The following is a 21,294-nucleotide window of genomic DNA, read 5'->3' on the forward strand; positions in this document are numbered from 1 at the left end:
CCCTGATCCAGCCCTAGGCTGGACCAGTTTTTGGAAAGGAAATGCTCGTGGTTCCCTTGTAGGAACGTTGCCCAAATCTTATCCCATCCTAAGAGTATACAACTGTCATTTTTCCAAAACCAAAGAGATAAGATGACTTACGTAATTGAGCAAGTACAGATAAAATTCTGATCAGACGCCAAATTAAGGCATAAAATTTTGACACTTTAAGTCTCTGTGCAGAAGGTTCTCATTCTTTCTAAATGGAGGTGAACTCTCCTTTAAGAAGACCCAATAGGTACAAATACAAATCAAAAAGTGAAGTGGTGGCATTCTATGTTGCTTTTTCAAAACAAAATCTATTAGCAAAACTCATAACTTTACAAAAAGACTCCTCTTAGGGCTTCTTTAAATGATGAGCTTCTGTGATGTATTTGAAATCAGAGTAAATTTATAACCATTTTTTGACCAGCATTAAGCAAGGAATGTTGTCCAGTAGCCACTAGATGCCTTGGCCTCTCTCCACTGCCTGGGCTTCCAGTAGGCAAAGGCAAAGTCCTTGGCAGTACTCCCTTGAGGAGTTAAAAGTAAATCTATGCACTAGAAGGAAAAAATACAAAGAGAGACCCAGTAAGTTAAGGGCCAAGGTCTAAAGTGAGATCTGGCATAACCCAGGGCAAAAGGTGCACTTAACTCTAAGGTAAAGTGTATCTCTCAAAACTAAATATTTGGACCCCAAACCAAAACCCAAATACTGGATATTTCAACAGATCTCTCAGGGAGGGAGCAGAAGCAACCCTAATCTTCCTATTATATTTGAGAGAAACTCAGCAAGGGAAGGAAGAGCAGCGTTCCGTGTCAAAAGTAGAGAGAAAAAGGAGGCTGGTGCGAGAATTCGCCACAACCTTTTTGGGTTTAAGAGACAGATGGTGGGACTCATCCTCGAGCAGTTCTTCCCTGGAAGAGACCCCGGGGAAATTCCCAGCTCCACTGAGAACTCTCCACCGTCCTGATTCTGCTTTTAGGAGTCTCAAACCCTCAAGCAGTTTGAAAACTGAAAAACACTGGCAGGCAGGGAAGGCAAGGCAAGGCAGAAATCTTAGTAACACAACTATTAGTTAGCACTTAACCTCATTCTGATAATTTTTTTTAAATCTCCTTAAGACTACCAAGACTGCTGTCCAAGGAGGATAGAGGTTTTTAGGAAAATGAAGTTATTTCACAAGTAAAACTAACCAAGTTTTTTTTGTTTGTTTTTAAGCTAGCTTTAAATCCTTTGGGGAACAAAACAAAAAAAGTAAAAACTCTCTTAGGTCTAGATTTAGGTATAAACTTTGGATCACGGTAGACACAAAGTCAGCTTTTAGGCAGGGATTTACCTCTCATTCTCTCAAATCACTCATTCTTCTTTTAGTATGACTTGCTCTGCAGTCAGCAGGCATTTTTCGTTTAACAAGAGCAAAAAAATTTTGCACACTGTGGGTAGCAATGCAAAATTGTGTGACTATGAGATGTGCTTTCAGGTTAGACATCACCAAGCAGTGCACTAGTAGATTCTGGACGAATTATGGTGTCTAGCTTCCAAAGTAACCTTTTATTTATAAATAAATAAAAAAAGTGCATAGGGACTGTTAATCTTCATGAGGGACGCTTAGCATACTAAAGGAATAATCAAGAAAACCAAGAATGTGTTAAGGGTTGTTTATAACCACAATCATATGATGTCCCACAAGAAAGACTAATAATGCCAAATATGTATGTAATGAATAAAACATTTGATTATTAGGTCAACATAGAAGGCTGAGCATGAGCATGTTTTGATATTAGATATAATATATATCTTCTTAAAATCCACCAGATCCCACATATTCAAAATGAGTTTTGCCCTTCCTCCCAGGAGCTGCTGATTATCATGGTGTGTGGTTTATGCTTTTCTAGGAGTGTTTCTTTTTTAAAAAATCAAGATATAATTCACATATTATAAAATTCACCATTTTAAAGTACACAATTCAGAGGTTTTCAGTATGTTCACAAAGTTGTGCAACCATCACTACTAATTCCAGAACCTTTTCATCACCTCAAAAAGAAACCCCATATCCATTAGCAGTCACTCCCAGCTCCCCTCCCCACCTCCCAGCAACCTCTGATCTATTTGCTCTCAATAGATTTGCCTATTCGAGAATTTCATGTAAGTGAAATTATACAATTACATATTGTACAATTATACAATATGTGGCCTTTTGTGTCTGGCTTCTTTGCATAATATTTTCAAGGTTCATAGTAGCATGAATCAATACTATCTTCCTTTTTATGACTGAATAATATTCCATTGTATTGATATAGTACATTTTGTTTACCTATTCATCAATTTATAGATATTTGAGTGCCTAGACACATTTTGGCTTGTTTTAACTTCTTGGCCACCAGAAACAATCAAGTGCACATTTTTTTGTGTATATATATTTTCAATTATCTTGGATATACACCTAAGAATGCAATTACTAGGTCATGTGGTAACCCTACATTTTACATTTTGAAGAACTATCAAACTGTTTTCCAAGTCACTGCACCATTTTACATTCCTACCAGTAATGTGTGTGGAATCCAGTTTCTCCACATCCTTGTCAACACTTGTTAATGACCATCTTTTTATTTTAGCCATTCTAGTTGGTGTGAAGTAGTATCTCATTGTGGACTTCATTTGCATTTCCCTAATGACTAATGAGGTAGAGCATCTTTTCATGTACTTGGAGAAATGTCTTTTTTGTAGAAATGTCTATTTCAGAGGTTTTTCCCATATTTAAATTGGTTGTCTTTTTATTATTGAGTTGTAATAGTTCTTTATTCTGGATACTAGTACCTTAACAGATATATGATTTGTAAATACTTTGTCATTCTGTGGTTTTTCTTTTCACTTCTCAATGGTGTCCTTTGAAGCACAAAAGTTGTTAATTTGGATGAAGCTCAATTAATCTATGTTTTCTTTTGTTTCTTGCGCTTTCGATGCCATATTATATTGAATAGACACCACTGTCTAGTTAGGGTCACAAAAATTTAGGTGTATGTTTTTTTTCCAAGAACTTTATAGGCTTAGCTCTTACATTTAGGTCTTTAATCCATTTTGAATTAATTATTGTATATAGTATGAGGTAGGGATTCAACTTCATTCTTTTGTGTGTATCTATCCCTTTGTCCCAATATCATTTGTTAAAATGATTTTTCTTTCCTCCACTGAATTTTCTTGGCATCTTTGTCAAAATCAATTGCCCATAAATGTCTAAGTTTATTTCTGGACTTTCAATTCTATCCTATAGGCATAGATATTTGTATATTTGCCAGTACCACACAGTCTTCATTACTGTAGTTTGAGTCCTTCAACTTTCTTCTTTTTCAAGATTGTTTTAGCTATTCTGGGCCCCTTGCATTTTCATATAAATTTTAGAATCAGCTTGTCAATTTTTGCCAAAAATGCAGGAGGGATTTAGACAGGGATTGTGTTGAATCTGCAGATCAATTTGGTGAGTATTACTTTCTAACAATATTAAATGTTCTGGGCCATGAACTCAGAATATCTTTCCTTCCATTTAGGTCTTTCTTTGTTTCTTTCAACAATGTTTTGTGGTTTTCATTATGCAAGTCTTGCACTTCTTTCATTAAATTTATTCTAAGTATTTTACTCCTTTTAATTTTTACTCATTTTCAGATTGTTCTATAGCGTATACAAACACAATTGATTTTTGTATCTTAATCTTGTATGCTGTACCTTACTGAACTCATTTATTAGCTCTGATAGGTTTTTTTTTGTGTGTGTGGATTCTTTAGGGTTTTCTATGTATAAGACCAAGTCATCTGTGAATAGAGATAGATTTACTTCTTTCTTTCTAACCTGGATGCCTTCTATTTCTTTTTCTCATTTAATTGTCCTACTCGCCCTCCAGTACCATGTGAAATAGAAGGGGTCAGAGTGGACATTCTTGTCTTGTTCCTGATCTTAGGGGGAAAGTTTTCAGTCTTTTACTGTAATGTGTGATATTAGCTGTGGGGTTTTTGTAGCTGCCCTTCATCAATTTAAGGAAGTTACCTTCTATCCAAAGTTTGTTGTATGTTTGATGTTTGTTTGTTTTTAGTCATGAAAGGGTGTTGGACTTTGTCAAATGCTTTTTCTGCATCTATTGAGATGGTGATGTGGCCTTTGTCCTTTATTCTATTAATATGGTATATTATATTAATTGGTTTTCATATGTTGAACCCACTTTGCATTCCTGGGATAAATCCCACTTTGTCATGGTGAGATTTATATGGTATTGGATTTAATTTGCTAGTATTTTGTTGAAGATTTTGCATCTATATTCATAAGGTATATTGGTCTGTAATTTGTCTTTCTTGTAATATCCTTGTCTGGTATTGGTAAAGGGTATTTTTTTACTCAAGTTATTTTTGTAGCATTTCTGCTGGATCTGCCTTCATAGCCATACAAGACAATCACTCTAATCTTTTATAGTCATATCTCACTTTTACTGATGTTTTTAGTTTATGAAAAATGATATTATCCAGTTTTATTACCCACCATAATCATATTTAGTTTCAAATAGCCCTTAATTAACTCTTTCTCAACATAATTGAAAAATAATTTAAAAATCACAATGGTAACAATAAGTGCATGGGCTGTGCTGGGGATTGTTCCAAGCACTTTACAAGGATTCATTCATTTAATCTTTACAACCCTACAAACACGCATTACAATTATGGTCATTTCACAAGTGAGGACTGTGACAAAGAGAAGCAAAGTAACTTCCCACGGAGGTAAAGTAACTAGTTTGCAGGTAGTTACTTGATCCAGGATTCAAACTCAGGCATTGGATTCCCAAGTCCATGCTCATAACCACTGTTTCAGCATTTAGAGTTTTCAAAAAGGATGTGTTTTCAGTACTTAAGAAAATTTCGTAAGAGATAGTCCAAAAGTTTTTTGGAGAAATGTCAGCATACTTGGAGAAAGTATATTTCTTTTTTGGAAACTATTCTGAAGATTCAAAACATACCTTTATGAGAAAGTATGATACTTTTGTTTAAAGTATGAGTCATACTGTCTTGTATAGCAATGAAGACCTTTGATATTAAATGGTCTTGTTCAATATTTTTACTCTCCTGCAAGTTCTGTATTATTTATAGAAAAAGACCATCTAATTTCCATTTTGATCTTTTTTATTTTCAAAGAAAAATAATATCAGCAGCCCTTTTAAAGTATCCTTCAACAGTAAATTTTTAAATGCCTTGTCCCTGGGGAAATATAAAATTGGTGTAGTGATTCTTTGTGCTCAAAGGGTTTACTAGGAAAACCAAGGCTTTAAGTTCCATTCTTTTCCCACTGTGCTCCAAAGGCATAAAGTGCACACAGCAAATATGAAAATATATTTTATCCAGTATAAACACTCTATTAAATAAAATACTCTATTAATTGTCAATAAGGCAATTAGTCAACAGCCTCTTTTCTGCACCTACTATATGTGAGATGCCACACGAGATGGGAGGTAGCAAAATGTAGGTGACTAGAGCATGGGCTCTGCACACACACAGGCTTGATTTGAATCGAGGTCCATCACATACTCATTATGTCATCTTGGGCAAGTTTCTTAAACTCTTTAAGTCTTGATTTTCCCATCTGTAAAATGAGGATAATAATAACATAGTTATATGAAGATGAAATGTCTGATAATCCACATAAAGCTCTTATAGTATCTAGCATAATGTAAGCACTCATTAAATATTAATTTTTATTAAGAAATACAAATGAATTGGAGCCTGGCACAGTGGGGCACACCTGCAGTCCCAGCTACTCGGGAAGCTAAGGCAGGTGGATCACTTGAGGCCAGAAGTTTGAGTCCAGCCCGGGCAACATAGGGAGACCCCATCTCAGAAAAAAAAAAAAAAGTGTTTAAAAAATGAATTGGGATAGCCACTTTTCTCAGGTAGTTTACAATAACATAAATGACACTAATAGGAAGCAGAATGTTCTATATATCGTAAGAGCAGAACAAGGTATTAATGGGGCTTTAAGAACCAAAGGTCACAAAATAGCTGAAGAAAAGAGGAGGAGGTAACAACTGAAAAATGGATAATAACTAAAAGACAATCAAAGTCAATGGGAAGACTTAGAATGAACAGCAGGAACAAGAGTACAGAGGTGGGGAAGAGCCCTGTGTGGTCAGATTAGGGCTTATGGGAAGGCGCCATGGAAGATGAAGCTGGAAATAAATCTGGTGGAGCCAGCCTGACTTCCAAGTTAGGGATTTTGGACTTCATGTGGTGTGTATGAAAGTATATTGAGTGAGAATTTTGAAAGTTGATGGTTTGTTTTTGCCTTTTAGGTTTAGGATCCAAAATCAATTCAACTTAAAAAGCATTTTAAATTCTTGGGGAGTCACCGATCTTTTTGATCCACTCAAAGCTAACTTGAAAGGAATTTCAGGTAAAAACGGTTCTTCTTCCAAACGTTCTAGCCGTGTATTTGGGGCAGTTTTATCATACTTTGATTAAGGGATTCTCATTTCAGAGTCAACATTATGTAAAAGAATAAGAAAGGTGCTCTGTTTTATATAAGAATGTGTTGCTTCTAATAACAGTCAAATTTGGGTTAGATCTTGTGAGGAAGGGATGTTTCTTCAGGCCTTAATCATGGTTTTCAGAGACGACCTTCACCATGGGGTCAATGTCCACAGCACACAGTAAACAGACCCTCCCTCTAACCGTCATGACTAGGAGTGTACCCAAGGCATTGCTGCAGCAATAGATTCTTCATTATGACCTCCTGCTGTCCCATCAGCTTCAGTCACCCTTTGTTTCTACACCCTTTTCCTCCCTCCTTCCCAATACCTTCTCTGTCCTCTTCTAATAAGCTAGTCTTGAAACCTTCCCTCATCTGTCCAATTTCCTTTTTTCAAATTACCCATACTCTTACAACCTTGCCTTAAAATGTTCTCCTTTCCACCAACCACATTGAATTTCTTTGCACAAAGTTGAATTGCTACTACCAATCAATAGGTGCTGTTTGCTTATGGTATTATAGGAAATTTATATCAAATATAAACAGGGAGTGAATGCCAGAACCTATGTTCTACAATCCTCTCAAGACACCATTGGCTAAACTATTGCCAACTCAAAGGCTCAGGTTTGTTTCTACTCTGGATAGTAAATTATCTGTGCAAAGATGATACTGTAGCTGGTATTTCCATTGGCCTTGACATTTCCCTTACCTGAAGGGCTTGAAAATCACTATTTTGAATTCTAGAACATCATAATGTGGACTTTTCTAAATCTTGGCTCAGAATCTTCCTTCTTAAGGAATCACAGGAAAATTGAGATTTTGATCCACAAGAGAAGTCTTGGTTTGGGCTTTAGATGTGACCAGATTGACAGTTACTTATCAAATAAAACACAGGAGTGAGAATCTATTCTACAGAGTTTAAAATCTACCAGCTCTGTACTCATTGCCTGAACACGCAAAGAGATAGCAAAGCAATAGTCAAGTTTGGGCATTGTGTCCACAACGATGCTTGGCACACAGTTGGATACCAAGTAAATACTGTTGACTTGGTCAAATGACTCAAACAGAAACTTTCCTTACTGACACAGGCATAATCTGACATTTCAAGCAAAGGAGGAATACTGAAGTGAAAAGATTGGAGGGCAAGGAAAGAGCAAGGGATGAAGAACTTAAGAGAATTCTATGTTTGATAATGTGCAAAATCTAACCAGTGTCTTCTTGCAACTCCAGAGCTCAGCCATGGCATCCCTGTTGTTGCTGGTGATTTTGATGATCAGAGTTAAAAACTGTATTTTCTTCTACATCGCTGTATTTTCTTCTACATCACTGTATTCCGTGAATCACTAGGGCTTACTGACTGTCCCTTCATAACTCCTAAAGCTCTCCCTTTTATGTCCTAAAAGTACATCCTAATGTGCCATCAACCCTCTGTCCTCAAACAGGACTGATCTTAACACACATCATGTAGCTCCCCTATTGGTAAAGGCTTCCAAGGTCCACAAACTCCTCTGGCAAGATCTAATAAATAACCTAGTTTTAAAAGTACCTTTTTTGATACGAAACCTTTTTTTTTTTTTTAACGCTATTCAAATCTACTTATATTTGCTCAAACCAGCAGAAAGGTAGGCAGGCAGATCTGGCTTATTTAATAATTATGAAGCAATTATCATGTGCCAAGTATGAAGCTTGCATTCACATTTCCTACTGACAAAACATGCCAGTCTGTTAATTTTCTCTCATGAAGTTTTGTTCCTCTAAAGCAGGGGTCAGCAAACAATGGCCTACCACCTGCTTTTGTGAAGTTTAATTAAAACATAGCCACTCTCATTCATTCATAAATCATCTATGGCTGCTTTCCTGCTACAGCAGCAAAACTGAGTAGTTGAGACAGACACCATATGGCTTGCAGTGGCTAAAATATTTAATATCCGGCCCTTTATAGAAAAAGATTGCCAACCAAATTATTGCTTCTTAATGTCCTTCTTTAAACATAATCAAGAGACTAACCACTTCTCTGCCCAAATGGGCTTTCAACTTAATATTCTAGAGACAGGGCCACCAAATCTCTCCAACAAATAGTTTCCTCATTCCTAAAATGGGGTAACTACCACTCACCACACATCTTAATTGTAGAAACAAAATCATTTACTTATAGTATGACATCAGCAGAGACCTTGCCAGAGAGTAAGTGATCAGAAAATACTGGCCTCTCCTCTCTTCTTCCAGTTTACGAGGGATTACCAAGCAGTTTTGTACTACTGATGGAACTCCAACCACCACAGCAAACATTTGGCCTTTCGGTCCCAAAGCCCAGAATCATTTTACTCAAATTCTCTTTCCCCATTTACAAGTCACTTATCTCTTCCTTCTTGGCATCAAATATTTTTTTTGCTGCCTTAAGGACTCATTCAATATTATCTCAAGGCCCAGCTGAAACCAGAGTGTAGTTCCCCCCCAGTCTCCTTGATACTAGATGTTATGCAGCTTTTAAGAGTAATTCCAGTTTCACTCACACTGAAGATGCCAGCTAAAGATACTCTTCTTAAGCAATCCCACTGGCTTTAGGATCAGCAGGCTTTGATATAGACCCATGCCTCCTAGTCCACAAAATACTCCTTGTGCACAAACTTGAAACTCTGAAGAAACTGTCTTGTTCTTGGCTTTTATAAGTAGGTAGTTTCCAATCTCTGCTCGGTAAGAAGTACAAGTTCTCTGTTACTATGACTTAAATGAACAAACCAGAGTTGTTTGGTTGAGTATGGAAGTTATGTAAGTTAACTTATGCCACACCAGATGTCTGGTCAGAATTGCAATAGAAAGAGGTGCAGAGTGGGCTAGAGGAGACAAATGGAGAAAGCAACTAACCATAGCCTAATTTCAAAGGCCATTTCAGATTCTTCTTAGCACTCTCTCTCCCTCTCCTGGGCCGGGTGCTATGTGTTTCTCTCTCTAGCCCCCTCTCCCTAACACTTAGTGTTAGCAACTAAGTGACAAGATGAAAAAGATAAACTAGAAGCAAGTTCTGGCAATAACATTTTAAAAGCCACTAACACTGGCTACAGCAAATAATTGTAAAGACAAAAGAAACAGCAAATGATATGTTTATCCTGATTTATGAGAAGCTGAGGATGAAATGTTGGGACACAATGTTTATACAACGTCATGTTTTGAAGACTTTTAACCTTTTGAGTATGACCAGCCATACACAAAGAATAACGGTGTCCACCAACAAAGCACTGAAACAATCATTTGGCTGAGACTTGCAGATGACCCATTCTATGCCACGCCTTTATGGTTCTACAAACACCAATCAGCATTTCCTTACAAGTTTAACAAGGTTAAAGAACATTAAGGCCATTCGTATAGTGGTAAGGGGTGTCTATTATTAATTCATCCAGCATTTACTAAACACATTAATGTACCAAGTATTTTTAATGTAAGTTGGGCAAAGAAATATTTAAAATGATTAAGACATCATTTATGCTTCTAGGAGCTAATAGTCTAAAAAGGAAGGTAAAAACCCATAGAAGATGTTATGGAAGAAGAGTGGAGAGTATGCCAGGAGGGAGGGTAGGAAGAGTATCACCCCTTTGCTTTGTATATAGAATGTTGTATTGTAGGAGCAAGCGAGTTTATGGTGGGCTACAGTTTCCCAAAGTATGTTCCCAAAATGCTAATCCTGTAAATCTGGGACAGAGAATGGTGTGGGTGGTTCTATGGTTAAACGCTATGTATTATAATTGTCCTGTAGAGATTCACTATAAAAGTTAGCAGATTAGCAGCTCTAAGAAGTCCCCTACTGAAAACAAAAGTGCAAAACTGTTTAGCATCTCCCACATATAATTAATCATGGAACCCTTTTACAGAATGCCACCTATAAACAATCTTGAGAACAACTTTTGGGAAAATAGGGCGTATGTCCCTCAATGGCACTAAGCAGCTGTCAACACTTCAGGGGAGTAGAAAAAGACCAGGAGAATCCCTTTGTGCTTGACTTCTAGGTTCATTTCATTAGTTCTGTAATATTTCAATAGCTACTCAATAAAAAATAATAGGAATCTGTAATACAAGATCAAGTGGGAGGAAAAATGCAAAACCATAGATGACTCCCATATTCTCATTTTTATCGCATATGTTGGTCTTTTGAAATGTCAACTCTTACCAGAGATAAAATTTAAAAGATGCTGATGCTGGGGCATGACATAGGCTATGGACCTTGGTTTATGGCTGTGCAAACATATAAATGTCAATTATTGGACCACTCCTATAGTCTGATGGAGAGAAACTGTTTAAATGAAACTCTTCAGTTGCAGTTTCAAAATACTGAAATAGCCTGGCCCATCTAACCAGACTCATCCACATCAACTGGTCTCATTTCTCACACTGCCAAGGTGCCCAGACTAATACAGACACATTTACTGTATTTTAGCTGATAAGGGGTTTCATAGTGAATCTCTGCTTATTTCACCAACATTCATTTAAAATGTTCAGACACCATCCTATATAGTCATGAAGTCTCGGAGATTAGTAAAAGCCTCTCATGACTGTCAAATAACCATTCTTTAACCCTAAAGCTCTTTGTAACTTTGGCACTGCATTTCAGTTTGCTTAATTAGCTAGTAAGAGGGGCTAATTATTGATAGTGAAATTTGTTTCTTAAAGACCCTAGAGAAAAAGACCAACTGCTAAAATAAATCAAATTCTTTGCTGATTTTAGGACAAGTGACACTAGTGAATGTTTCTATTGATTTTTACTTCCTCTGGCCCTTCCTGTCCCCTTCACTGATGCTGGAAAATAACTGTTCCTTACAGTGAATATAGCCAACTCCCAACATCCTGTGCACATCTTACAAGATGGATGGAATGCCGCATATTCTTTATTTTGGTCTGGTTTTATTCTCTCATGGCATTCATGGGCTATCTCCTGTGTGTGCGTGACAAACACAAACCAATTTAAGCGTTAGTCTAAGATGAAACAAAGCTCCCTCACACAATATGTGTTCATCAAACTGATCATTTTAACATTCATGCCACAGATACCTCCCAGTGGCATGTTGGAGCTGACTAGCATACACTTTCTGAAAGGCGGCAGTGTTTGAATGGAGGAGAGGGGTGGGATGGGAGTGGGCTTTCAATCAGAATATTCTCAACTCTGCTTTTCAAATGTGTGATCTCAGGTGAGTTCACAGCTCACTCTAAAATGAAAGGATTGGACTGAATGATTTCCTAAGTTTCTTCTGGTTCTAAATCTTTCATTTTTTACTGTGTCATCAAGTATCCTTTCATCTTTGGAGCTGTTTAAAAATGGTTAATGATTAGCTTACAAAAATCAGCCAATTCCTCTAAATTATCACTTAGTCCTATTTGCTAAACTTATAATCTGTGAAACTGTTAGCACATAGAACATTTATACTAACCTCTCATTTGCTTTGTAGATTCTAGCCCATGAGGCAAATTAATTGCATAACTGATACACCTAAGTATACAGAATACAGTCATGCAACACTAGACACATTCATATTACTCTGAATTGTGCCTCAATAAAGCCTGTAATAAAAACCTGTGACTTTGTCATTTAAAAGTGGCTCTTAAAGTGCAGTCCAAAAAGGCATTCAAGGGAAATGATCTCTGAAGCTTGGTGAAAATGATTCCCGGGCTACAGAATCTGCATTTTAACACATACCCTATGATCACTGAAGTTTAGGAAATACTGGCTGAAGGAGGGATTGTAGTTTTAACTAGAATCATTTCTGAAAATGAACCACTGAAAAAATGGGGCAGTGCTCTGAATATTATTTTGGGAGCGATTACATATTTTAACAAATTAAATATATATAACAAATTAAAGTTTGGTAACATATTGAGTCTTAAGAATTTTCCAAACAGCTACCTGAGCCTCCAGTAAAAACAAAAACAGAATTTTCCACTCTTTCCCTAGCTACACAGTAAGCAGCATTGGATACTATAAATTTTGTAAGTACATTTTTAAAGAATGTGTTCTAAATGTGTTAGAAAAATGTTAATGAGCAACTCACATTTTTATCATTTTCTGTGGTTAGGCCAAGATGGCTTTTATGTTTCTGAAGCAATCCACAAGGCCAAGATTGAAGTTTTGGAGGAAGGCACCAAGGCATCTGGAGCCACAGGTATGTTCAGAGAATACCCAGTCACACTGCTTACCCATATCTACCTTTCTGAAATTTACCTAGTTGAATCTTCACACTTCTGAATCTTTCCATAACCCCCAAGTTCAGGTGTGGTGTAGTATTTTTTAAAAAGGAACACTAAAGAAAACAAAAAGTTTTTGAAAAATGACGGGGAAGAAGAGATATCCATCCCATAAAAATAATTCTGAAAGTTACCTTCAATAAGGAATTTATTCCATGGAATGTGTTGAAAACAGGAGACAGGATTGGCTAAATGGCATCTTTTCTCTTTAATTTTCCCATCTGCACCCCCATCACAACAGTAAACAATCAAATGCCATTAGGATGCTTTGATTTCTTAAAAAATTAACTTACTTCATAACCAATAGTTATTTTCTTAAAAATGCACAGAAAATGCAATGGAATTTTTCTTTCTTTCCTGCAGCTCTGTTGTTATTGAAAAGGTCTCGGATTCCTATTTTTAAAGCAGATCGGCCATTCATCTATTTCCTGAGAGAACCTAACACAGGTATTACAGTATTTTTTGACAGGATTCAGATAATTTATCAGTGTCTCTCTAGCAACAAGGGCTCATTTGTCCACTATCCCCTCAAAAATAAGCATTCTTTCTAGCTGTTTTTATGGTGCTTCAGAAGCTACCCAGTTGCTATCTTCTATCCTAAGAAAGGGGACTATTTCGTAAGTACAAAGGAAACTTATCCTCCATGTTTTTTACCTTCTCATTCTCTCAGCTCATATATAGTTAATGTAGATTTTTTTTTTTAATGCTATAGGTTTCTACTTCTGAAGACACTTGGAAAAATCATGAAAGTAAAATAAATTATAAATCTTGCCCTTTTTTCCCTTTGTCCCCTAGCTTTCTTATCATTTTAGAGTTTTTTCAGGTCACTAGAGTACACCAGAGTAGTCCTCTTGTGATCCTAGTATTCTAATGAATGCACCTGGATTTCTATACTGTTCTGTTGATCTTTCTCAAAAATCAAATGTTTGCCCTAGTACTTTTAAGTCCTACTACATAACCTTATGGTAATCCAAAGATGGTGTGGTACCGGCAAAGCCTCAGTACATCAGAAGGACACACAAATATTCTTAGGCTTCGACAATATTGAACAAAGTCTTTAGATTATTTCTCTTAATGTTCTTCCTCCCCCACTCACAATTACTTAGCCTAGGAAGGAAAAGAGATTCTCAGTTAAGAGTTGTTGGCAAGTCTAAACAGTGTATTAAAAAGAAATAGGATAGAACAAGACTAATAAAATCAAGCAAAGGTGGATCTACTTTAACTAAACATCAGGCATTACTTTTATTTATGGAGAAAAATGTCAAAAGTTAGAATGAAAATTATGCATAGTTTTACATAAATTGTTAAGGAAATACTGTCAACATCATTTTATCTGAGAATCATTTGCATCCTGCTGTACCTTGTGCTAGAAATCAAAGGAACATTTTTGTGACGAGAAAGATATAAACCATTCACTAGAAAATAATCTATTTGGGATTATTTGGAGAGAAAAAGTCCATCAACAGAGTATGTCTTCCTAGTATTTCACCATGATCATCCCAACCACATAACGATTAGATGAAAATATCACTTATCACCCAGAACAGGCGGCAGAGAGCCTTCTCTTAGAAAGGACACGTCAAAAAAATGAAAGATGAGAAAAAGGACAGGTTCTACTCCCTAAGGAAACAAAGAGACAGGACTACATTTGAACAGAAAGGTCATTGCCAAAAGCCAATAGCCAATAAAGGTTGATAGGTAAAAGAGAGATTCTGATTTTGGAATTCAAGTGCATAAAAATGATGTAAAATCCTTAAACAAGGAAAAGACACACCACTATTTCAATGGTAGGAGTTTTCAGAACTGCCTCAGTAATCAGAATGAAAATATAAGGATAATCCAAAACCAGTTCCACAATCCACTGGAATTCTAATAGTCCTTGTGACTTTACCTCTATCTGGGAGGCATTAGCCTACATCACACAACACAGTGGCTGCTCTTCTGGTGATGGTTATGGAAGAGTTTAGAAATGAGTCTCAGCCTTCATTATTTCCAACTGACAAATCTTACTAAGAGCAACTAATGAATCAATCAGCAAATGAGAAACATGGGAGACATTAAAAAAAAAGATTTGAAAACCTCAAGATTAAACTTTCCAAGAATATCATTTGTCGAGCCTTAAGTCATTCAGTGACATAAAGGGCCTAAAAGACATGATGTTTCCCCTAGATGTATTTCCCTTCCCCTTTGACAATAATTCTACAACAAGTATTCTAATTTAACTAATATACCCATTTTTTTTTTAAATGAAAAAAGCCTGAGGGAGATGAGATATTAACCTTTAGTTCTGATAGGTTTCAAACCCTCCTGACCAGGTTTTAGGATGAGGTGAGAACAGTGGCAGAGAGATAAAGGACAAAAAGAAGAGATGAACAAAACTGCTACTTCTCACCTCCCTCCAGGGTTCATTCAGAAAAATGTATTAAAGGTCATGAGCAATCTGTGAAACAGAAAATAAAACTTTCTGATAAGGAAAGCTGCTCAATATTGGGATGGGCTGAATCTCTTTCCTAGATACTCTTGTTAAGTATGAATTTTTATCTGAATGACTTCTAATTCCTCCTAGTAATTCCAGAATCTAAATATATATAATTTAGGAACAGACAATATATTCTGGATTTTGTGTAACTCTCAATGAATTTAGCAATGTGACTACAGGCAATTACCTTAACAATTCCATCTATTAAATGTTATCTTGCATTACTTAAAAGTATTTGTATAGAAGTAAACAAAGCTTAAAGAACTGCATATGAAAATACTATATAATATTAAATTCTTCTTTTTCTTGACAGGGTTTGTCTTCAGTATTGGGAGAGTTTCAAATCCCCTAGACTAAATGCATGTTCTCCACTTTCATCAATGCTTTTCTTCATAAAGTTATAATTTCATTTTGCTATACCCTTGAAATTTAAAAAAATGTCTGATAAAGTGTAAAAAGCTAAGGGTATGTGATTTTCAATATTATAAACCTAAAAATACTTCAGTTTTTAAATGTTATAAGTTTATTTTGCCTACTCTTAATCCAAATCTATTTTGACCTTCTTTTCTACTGCTTACCCCCCAAACCACTAAAAGGCACAGCAGTGATCATGAATGGTGAGTGAGTCAGGCCATAAGATTGCTTCCTCAGTACGGATACTCTAGGCCATGTTGAATTGAGGGTGGAGAATGAATAGCGTGGTTTTCCTTATCCTGTGAAACTCAGGGGGGATGCAAAATGAGCAAAGTCATCTTAAAGGTGTTTCCTTTCCATTTAGCTTATAAATAAAACAGAGTTTAAGTGTGAGAACAGCAGAGCAGAACAAGGAGGCCTCCAATTTGTTGTGGGCTTTTGCAAGCATGGCATGAAGCTGCTAAAGGCTAGATATTTCAGAGCATGTACTGTACTCCAAACCTACCACTCCCTAACAGCTTCAGCTTCGTGCCATCCACAATCCTAGTGATAAAGGAAAAGGTGTTGAAGTAAGGAAACCAATAATATCCAAAGTTGTTTGCTTTTTAAATAGCTTTTAAAGTATCTGTCTATCTGCCCCATACAAAGTCATTCCCATAATCTAGGCAGAAATGGGAGTATGTTGGCATGGCCAACAAAAACTACGAACATATAGTAAAAAGGCAATGCAGATTATGTAACATGTAATTACAGTTAGGCTTAACAAACATGAACTTCAAGTGGTGTATTTTTCCAATGCTAAAAAGCAAGGCCTTTAAAATTCCATTATCTTAGGATGTTTTTAAATGATTACTTTAAATGTGATTATTTCCTAAACCACACAAGAGTAAAATAGAGCATTTATTGATGGAATAACAAAAGTGCTTTTCTTAAATATTCTTCAAAATACATTTGTACAACTTACAATAATATATCCAAAATAACTGTATATACAAAACATTACCTAGTTTTAATGTATGTGCTTTTTTCCCCAAAAATTACAAAGTAACTTCTTTTTTTTTTGGCAAAGTTCAACCTTAACAGAGGTGACAATTTTAAAGGTTGGTTTAAGAAAATAGAACCTGAGGGAAATTGACACGCAAGAGTCAATGACAAGCAAGAGATTTGGAGGAATATTTTTAGTTTGTTAAATTAAAAATGTTTTTTAGAGTGATACTTTTCACATTACAAAAATAAACCAAAATGAAGAAAAGGTCACTGTAAAATGATGGAAAAAGGATCTGTAGATTTGCTTTTAGTATTTCAAATAGCCAACAATGCATGTCAGAAAATGAATGCAAGATCACAACAGTCTTGTATTTACTTTGTATTTGAAGAAGATAGTGAAATAAGTGGCCACATTCTATTTTCTTTTAATTGCTATTAATATGGTTGATCTGATTGGCTCTTCGATGAATTTCATCCAAGAAGTTCTCCAGTTGTTCTATTAGCATTCGTTTTTTAAACCTGTATGAAAAAATAAATAGTACTCTCAATTACTTTTTAATGAATAGTATATATCAGTATAATTTTTTTAAGAAAGGAGAGAAAATTTTGGGAAGATTTTTCAAAGTGAAATGAAAATAGAAAAATCAATACTACGACAATATAAAATATGTTGAAAGATTAGCAAATTATTATCCTAGTACAGTATTATAGTTTGTCCCTAAAACACTCTAGGGCTAAACAATGGGAAAGAGGTTGTTCCTTCCACAACCGAAAAGAAAAAGGAAAAAACAAACAAAAAAACAAAAAACTAATATATTCAAAATATATTCAAGGGCTGCAAACACTCTAGTGAAATTTGGGCTCCCCAAGCAAATACTTCAATAGCTTCTTCTCATGCTCTTTGTAAGCTGAATATTGAAAGGAATGTGAACAAAGTATGAATATAATCTCCCACAAAATGGAAGAAGAAATGAAAATTGGTCAGCAGCATTTAAAAACCATGGTATTCTATTACAATTTGAGAGCTAGCAAATCAAGGATAGACATCTATAATACAGAGTATAGCAAGCAGTTAAAGTTCAAGTAACAACTTTTAAAGATTTTCAGTAACAAATATGGACAGACTAAAATTGCATCTGTATACGTAACTGCTGACGGTTTTAAGAATATCCCAAGACACTGGACATTTTATTCCTACTTCCTTGCTACTTAGAAGCTAATATAAATAGCCACCATAATACTACACAACTCTCTAAAAGGTGGCAGAAGTGAAGTACAGATACCGGGGATATAAATTCCTAATGAGGTTTTAGCTGACAGAATGTTACCATAAAGAGCATAATAGGTTAAATACTCAAAATTACATGAAAAGTTATAGCCTTATCTTGATCCTGCAAACTGGCCTATGCTCTAGCCACTCCAAAAGTACAAAAAGAAAAGAAAACCAGAAACAAAACCAACTTTATCTAAAATCTTCATGTGTAGCATAGAAGAGACAGGGGGACAAAGTATAAGTGTGTTTACATTTAGAAGGTGGGATGTGATAAGCCCCAAGTTTTCTTATAATACTAAAATCCCCAAAATCTTGAAGGGAAAATAAAAAATGTTTTTAAACTCATACAACTATGTTTTCCAGTTAATTGCACTTCTTAATTACCATTTATAACCTTTATCCACCTTCTTTACACAGTGATCCCTCGGTATGGATGGGGGATTTATTCTAGGCCTCCCTATGAACACTAAAATCCACGAATGCTCAAGTCCCTTGTATAAAATGGCCCAATATTTGCATGTAACCTATGTACATTCTCCCATATGCTCTAAATAATCTCTACATTATTTATAATACTAATACAGTGTAAATACGATATGAATTAGACTGAATTATTTAGAAAATGACAAGAAAAAAAAAGCCTGTACATATTCAATACAGATACAACCATCCATTTCCCCGCCTCCAAATACTTTCAATCTGTGGTTGCTTGAATCCAATGAATGTGGAACCCAGGGATACAGAGGGCCAATGTACTAATGATCCTGGGCTACTGAAACAATCAGAATAAGGCCCATTTGTCCAATTCTTGTCTCCTTAATTACGTTTTCCCATGTAAAAATAAATGACACTCAAGTACGTTATTTTTAGTCACCAATATTAATGTATAAAGGAGAAAAATTAAAGGTTATAAAATATTAATGTAAAGATATCAAAAAGCTACAGAGAAGAATAACAAGAATTCTCCAAGTATCCAGTAATTTGTAGGGAGAAAAGGTCCATAATTCCTGAAGAATGTATGTGTGGCTGTTTTCTAAGTGAATTTCTTTCAATAAACTAAAAAAGAATAAGAATTTATTTATATGTTGGTATGCCATATACATTTATAAACAATACAAGTGCAAAACGGATACTATTAAAATACTGCCTATATAAACTGTGGACTCATTTCATCACCATTTCATTATATGCAATAGTTTATTTACCTTGATGCTTCTTTAATGACATTTTGTAAAAATATTAGTCTTGTTTGTAAACTGCCTTGCACATGCTTCAGTAAAGTGAAGATTCTTTCATATTCTTAAAGCAAAAGAAACAAAAAGAAAAATTAAGTGCCTTTCATTTGTATTCTTATTCAATATTCTTCTTTTGCAGTTTATGATATTAAGATATACTGAGATAAAAACATTCTACATAAAAATTTCACCACTCATTAGAGATTTTATATTTTAACATATATGTAAAAGTAAGTACACAGCAACAAAGATAAAACAACTAATCAAACCCTGCTTTGTAAGTAAAAGTTCCTATTAAGGTATCAAACATAAAGCTTAAAAGGATGAGTAAATAGCTTTATGGTAGTATCACTAAAAAATAAGAACAAGTGGCCTTTACAAAACTCCATCCTTACAGTTTAAAATTCTAACAGCTAACATGGGGGTAACTGGGAAGTGGGGGTAAAAACCAGACAGGTTAAGAGTGTTATTTCAGTTTAAAGTTTTCATATGAAACTCTGCAAGGGCTATAAACGTCTGAACTCCAAGGACTGATTTGTTCCCATTTCTGGACCACCCAGGTCATTCTACTACCCCAGGGCAAGTGATCTGTTAACATCCTCTAAATGAATGCCAATAATACTGAACTTTTTCCCACGAAGTTCTTTTGTGTTCATATACCAGAGAGCTTTCATAACTTTAGTTTTTTGGCCTAAACATATCCTATAATATCACAGTTTAACTACTAAACATAGTGGTAGGCACTATGACAAGAACTTTACAGACATGAAGTCATTTAATTTTCACTATATCTCTTGTGAGCTAGCTGCTATATTAAAATTCCATCGTTGGTCAGAATATTCAAGACTATGGGTTCCTGTCAATTTATCTGTACAGTGTTGCTCTGCTCTCAGTCCCTGCTGCCTACCACCATACCTAGTACCTTGGAAATAGAAGATATTTGGTGTTGGTCAGATGAATAAAGGATCTTAACTGAGATGTTGTTCAAGACAGATCTAGAATCATATGTATTCTTTTACTACAGTTACTTGACTTTTTTTTTCTTTTTTGCTTTTTGAGCACATACAGAAATCAGATCTGAGGTTCGTCTCTTATTATACATACTTCTTCCTGGCTTTCGGATCTCTTTCATTATTTGTGCTTTTAGTTCAGTATTGACCTCTTCATGGCTTCTGCAATGCATCAATTTCTTTCCTTTGTTGAGTGAAGATGCTGGTATGTTCTCTTCAGCACATTGTTCTTTATCTCTTGGCTCCTCATGATTTTCTAAAAATCCACCAACAGTGAGGTCATTGGTTCCTAAATGGTCATGACCAAGAGCCTCCATATGATTGGTTGGCCGTTCCAGTAAACTGGCTGGAGAAGATGCTGAAAATTCCGTATCCATAGCATTTGGTGTAATGTCTGATGAAAGTTGGTCTGCAACATGATTTTCAACCACATCATGTATTATCGAATCATTAGTGGTTTCTGAAACTAAAAACAAAGATACGGGGAAAAAATTATGGGATCCAGTCTCAAAGCATACAGTAAATAAAGCTACAAAAGAACATTACTACAGCAAGTCAACTGTTTTCCTTGACTAATGCAAGTTAACAAATAATGTGATATAGTTTTTAAGCATTGCCAAAGATACGGTAGATTTCAATGTGACACATACACAGTATTTACAAAATATTTACAATTTTTACCCTTGGAGGAAAAAATAAAGCCAATTTCAAGTAGTTTTTAGTTTTCTGGTTTATTCTATAGCAATTTTATTGAAACAAGTAGGTTCTTGATACTTCAATGAAATATCTATGATCAAAATTATCACGGTCATCTATCTCTACCTTAGAGAGCCCTAACTCACACATATGCCTTATACATCTGGTATCATTTAGAGGCAAAAGTAAACACTGGGTAGTTTTTACTTTCCACTTATATTTCTGCCTTTAACTGTTCCAAATTCTGCAGGGAACATACCACCAAACAGGTAATGTTTTACAGTATACCTTCTAACTAGAGAATCTAGTCATCATTTATTTACCAGTGCAGAGCAACCTGGTGCCCACTTCAGCTTATTAGACTACTAAAACTGAAAGCTCGCAAGCCTTCCTCTTAACACCAGATTATTAGACTTGCCCCACAGAAAGCAGCTGAATTTTAAGTTCTCTGA

At 35.4% G+C, this 21,294-nt stretch overlaps 2 protein-coding genes across 14 annotated transcripts in view; one reads left to right on the top strand and one right to left on the bottom strand.

Moving 5' to 3' along the window:
- The window catches only part of SERPINE3 (serpin family E member 3), a 25,045-nt gene extending 9,008 nt beyond the window's left edge, over positions 1-16,037 (top strand). For 3 of the 4 annotated variants that reach the window (XM_047430545.1, XM_047430544.1, NM_001101320.1), the window contains 3 exons: positions 6,345-6,445; positions 12,580-12,666; positions 13,112-13,405. In XM_047430545.1, the coding sequence (XP_047286501.1) occupies positions 6,345-6,445; positions 12,580-12,666; positions 13,112-13,299 (376 nt within the window). In that variant the 3' untranslated portion in view covers positions 13,300-13,405. Of the gene's footprint in view, positions 1-6,344; positions 6,446-12,579; positions 12,667-13,111; positions 13,406-15,540 lie in introns of those variants that run through there. The other variant, NM_001386375.1, reaches the window with a different exon arrangement.
- INTS6 (integrator complex subunit 6) overlaps positions 1-21,294 on the bottom strand; it is a 118,632-nt gene that overhangs the window by 14,294 nt on the left and 83,044 nt on the right. For 5 of the 10 annotated variants that reach the window (NM_001039937.2, NM_012141.3, NM_001306091.2 and 2 more), the window contains 3 exons: positions 20,241-20,612; positions 19,107-19,200; positions 12,879-17,147 (listed from right to left, as the gene is read on the bottom strand). In NM_001039937.2, the coding sequence (NP_001035026.1) occupies positions 17,054-17,147; positions 19,107-19,200; positions 20,241-20,612 (560 nt within the window). In that variant the 3' untranslated portion in view covers positions 12,879-17,053. Of the gene's footprint in view, positions 1-1,666; positions 5,639-12,878; positions 17,148-19,106; positions 19,201-20,240; positions 20,613-21,294 lie in introns of those variants that run through there. The other 5 variants (XR_007063673.1, XR_007063676.1, XR_007063675.1 and 2 more) reach the window with 2 other exon arrangements.

This window comes from Homo sapiens, chromosome 13 (genome assembly GCF_000001405.40).
Source record: "Homo sapiens chromosome 13, GRCh38.p14 Primary Assembly".
NCBI lineage: Eukaryota > Metazoa > Chordata > Mammalia > Primates > Hominidae > Homo > Homo sapiens.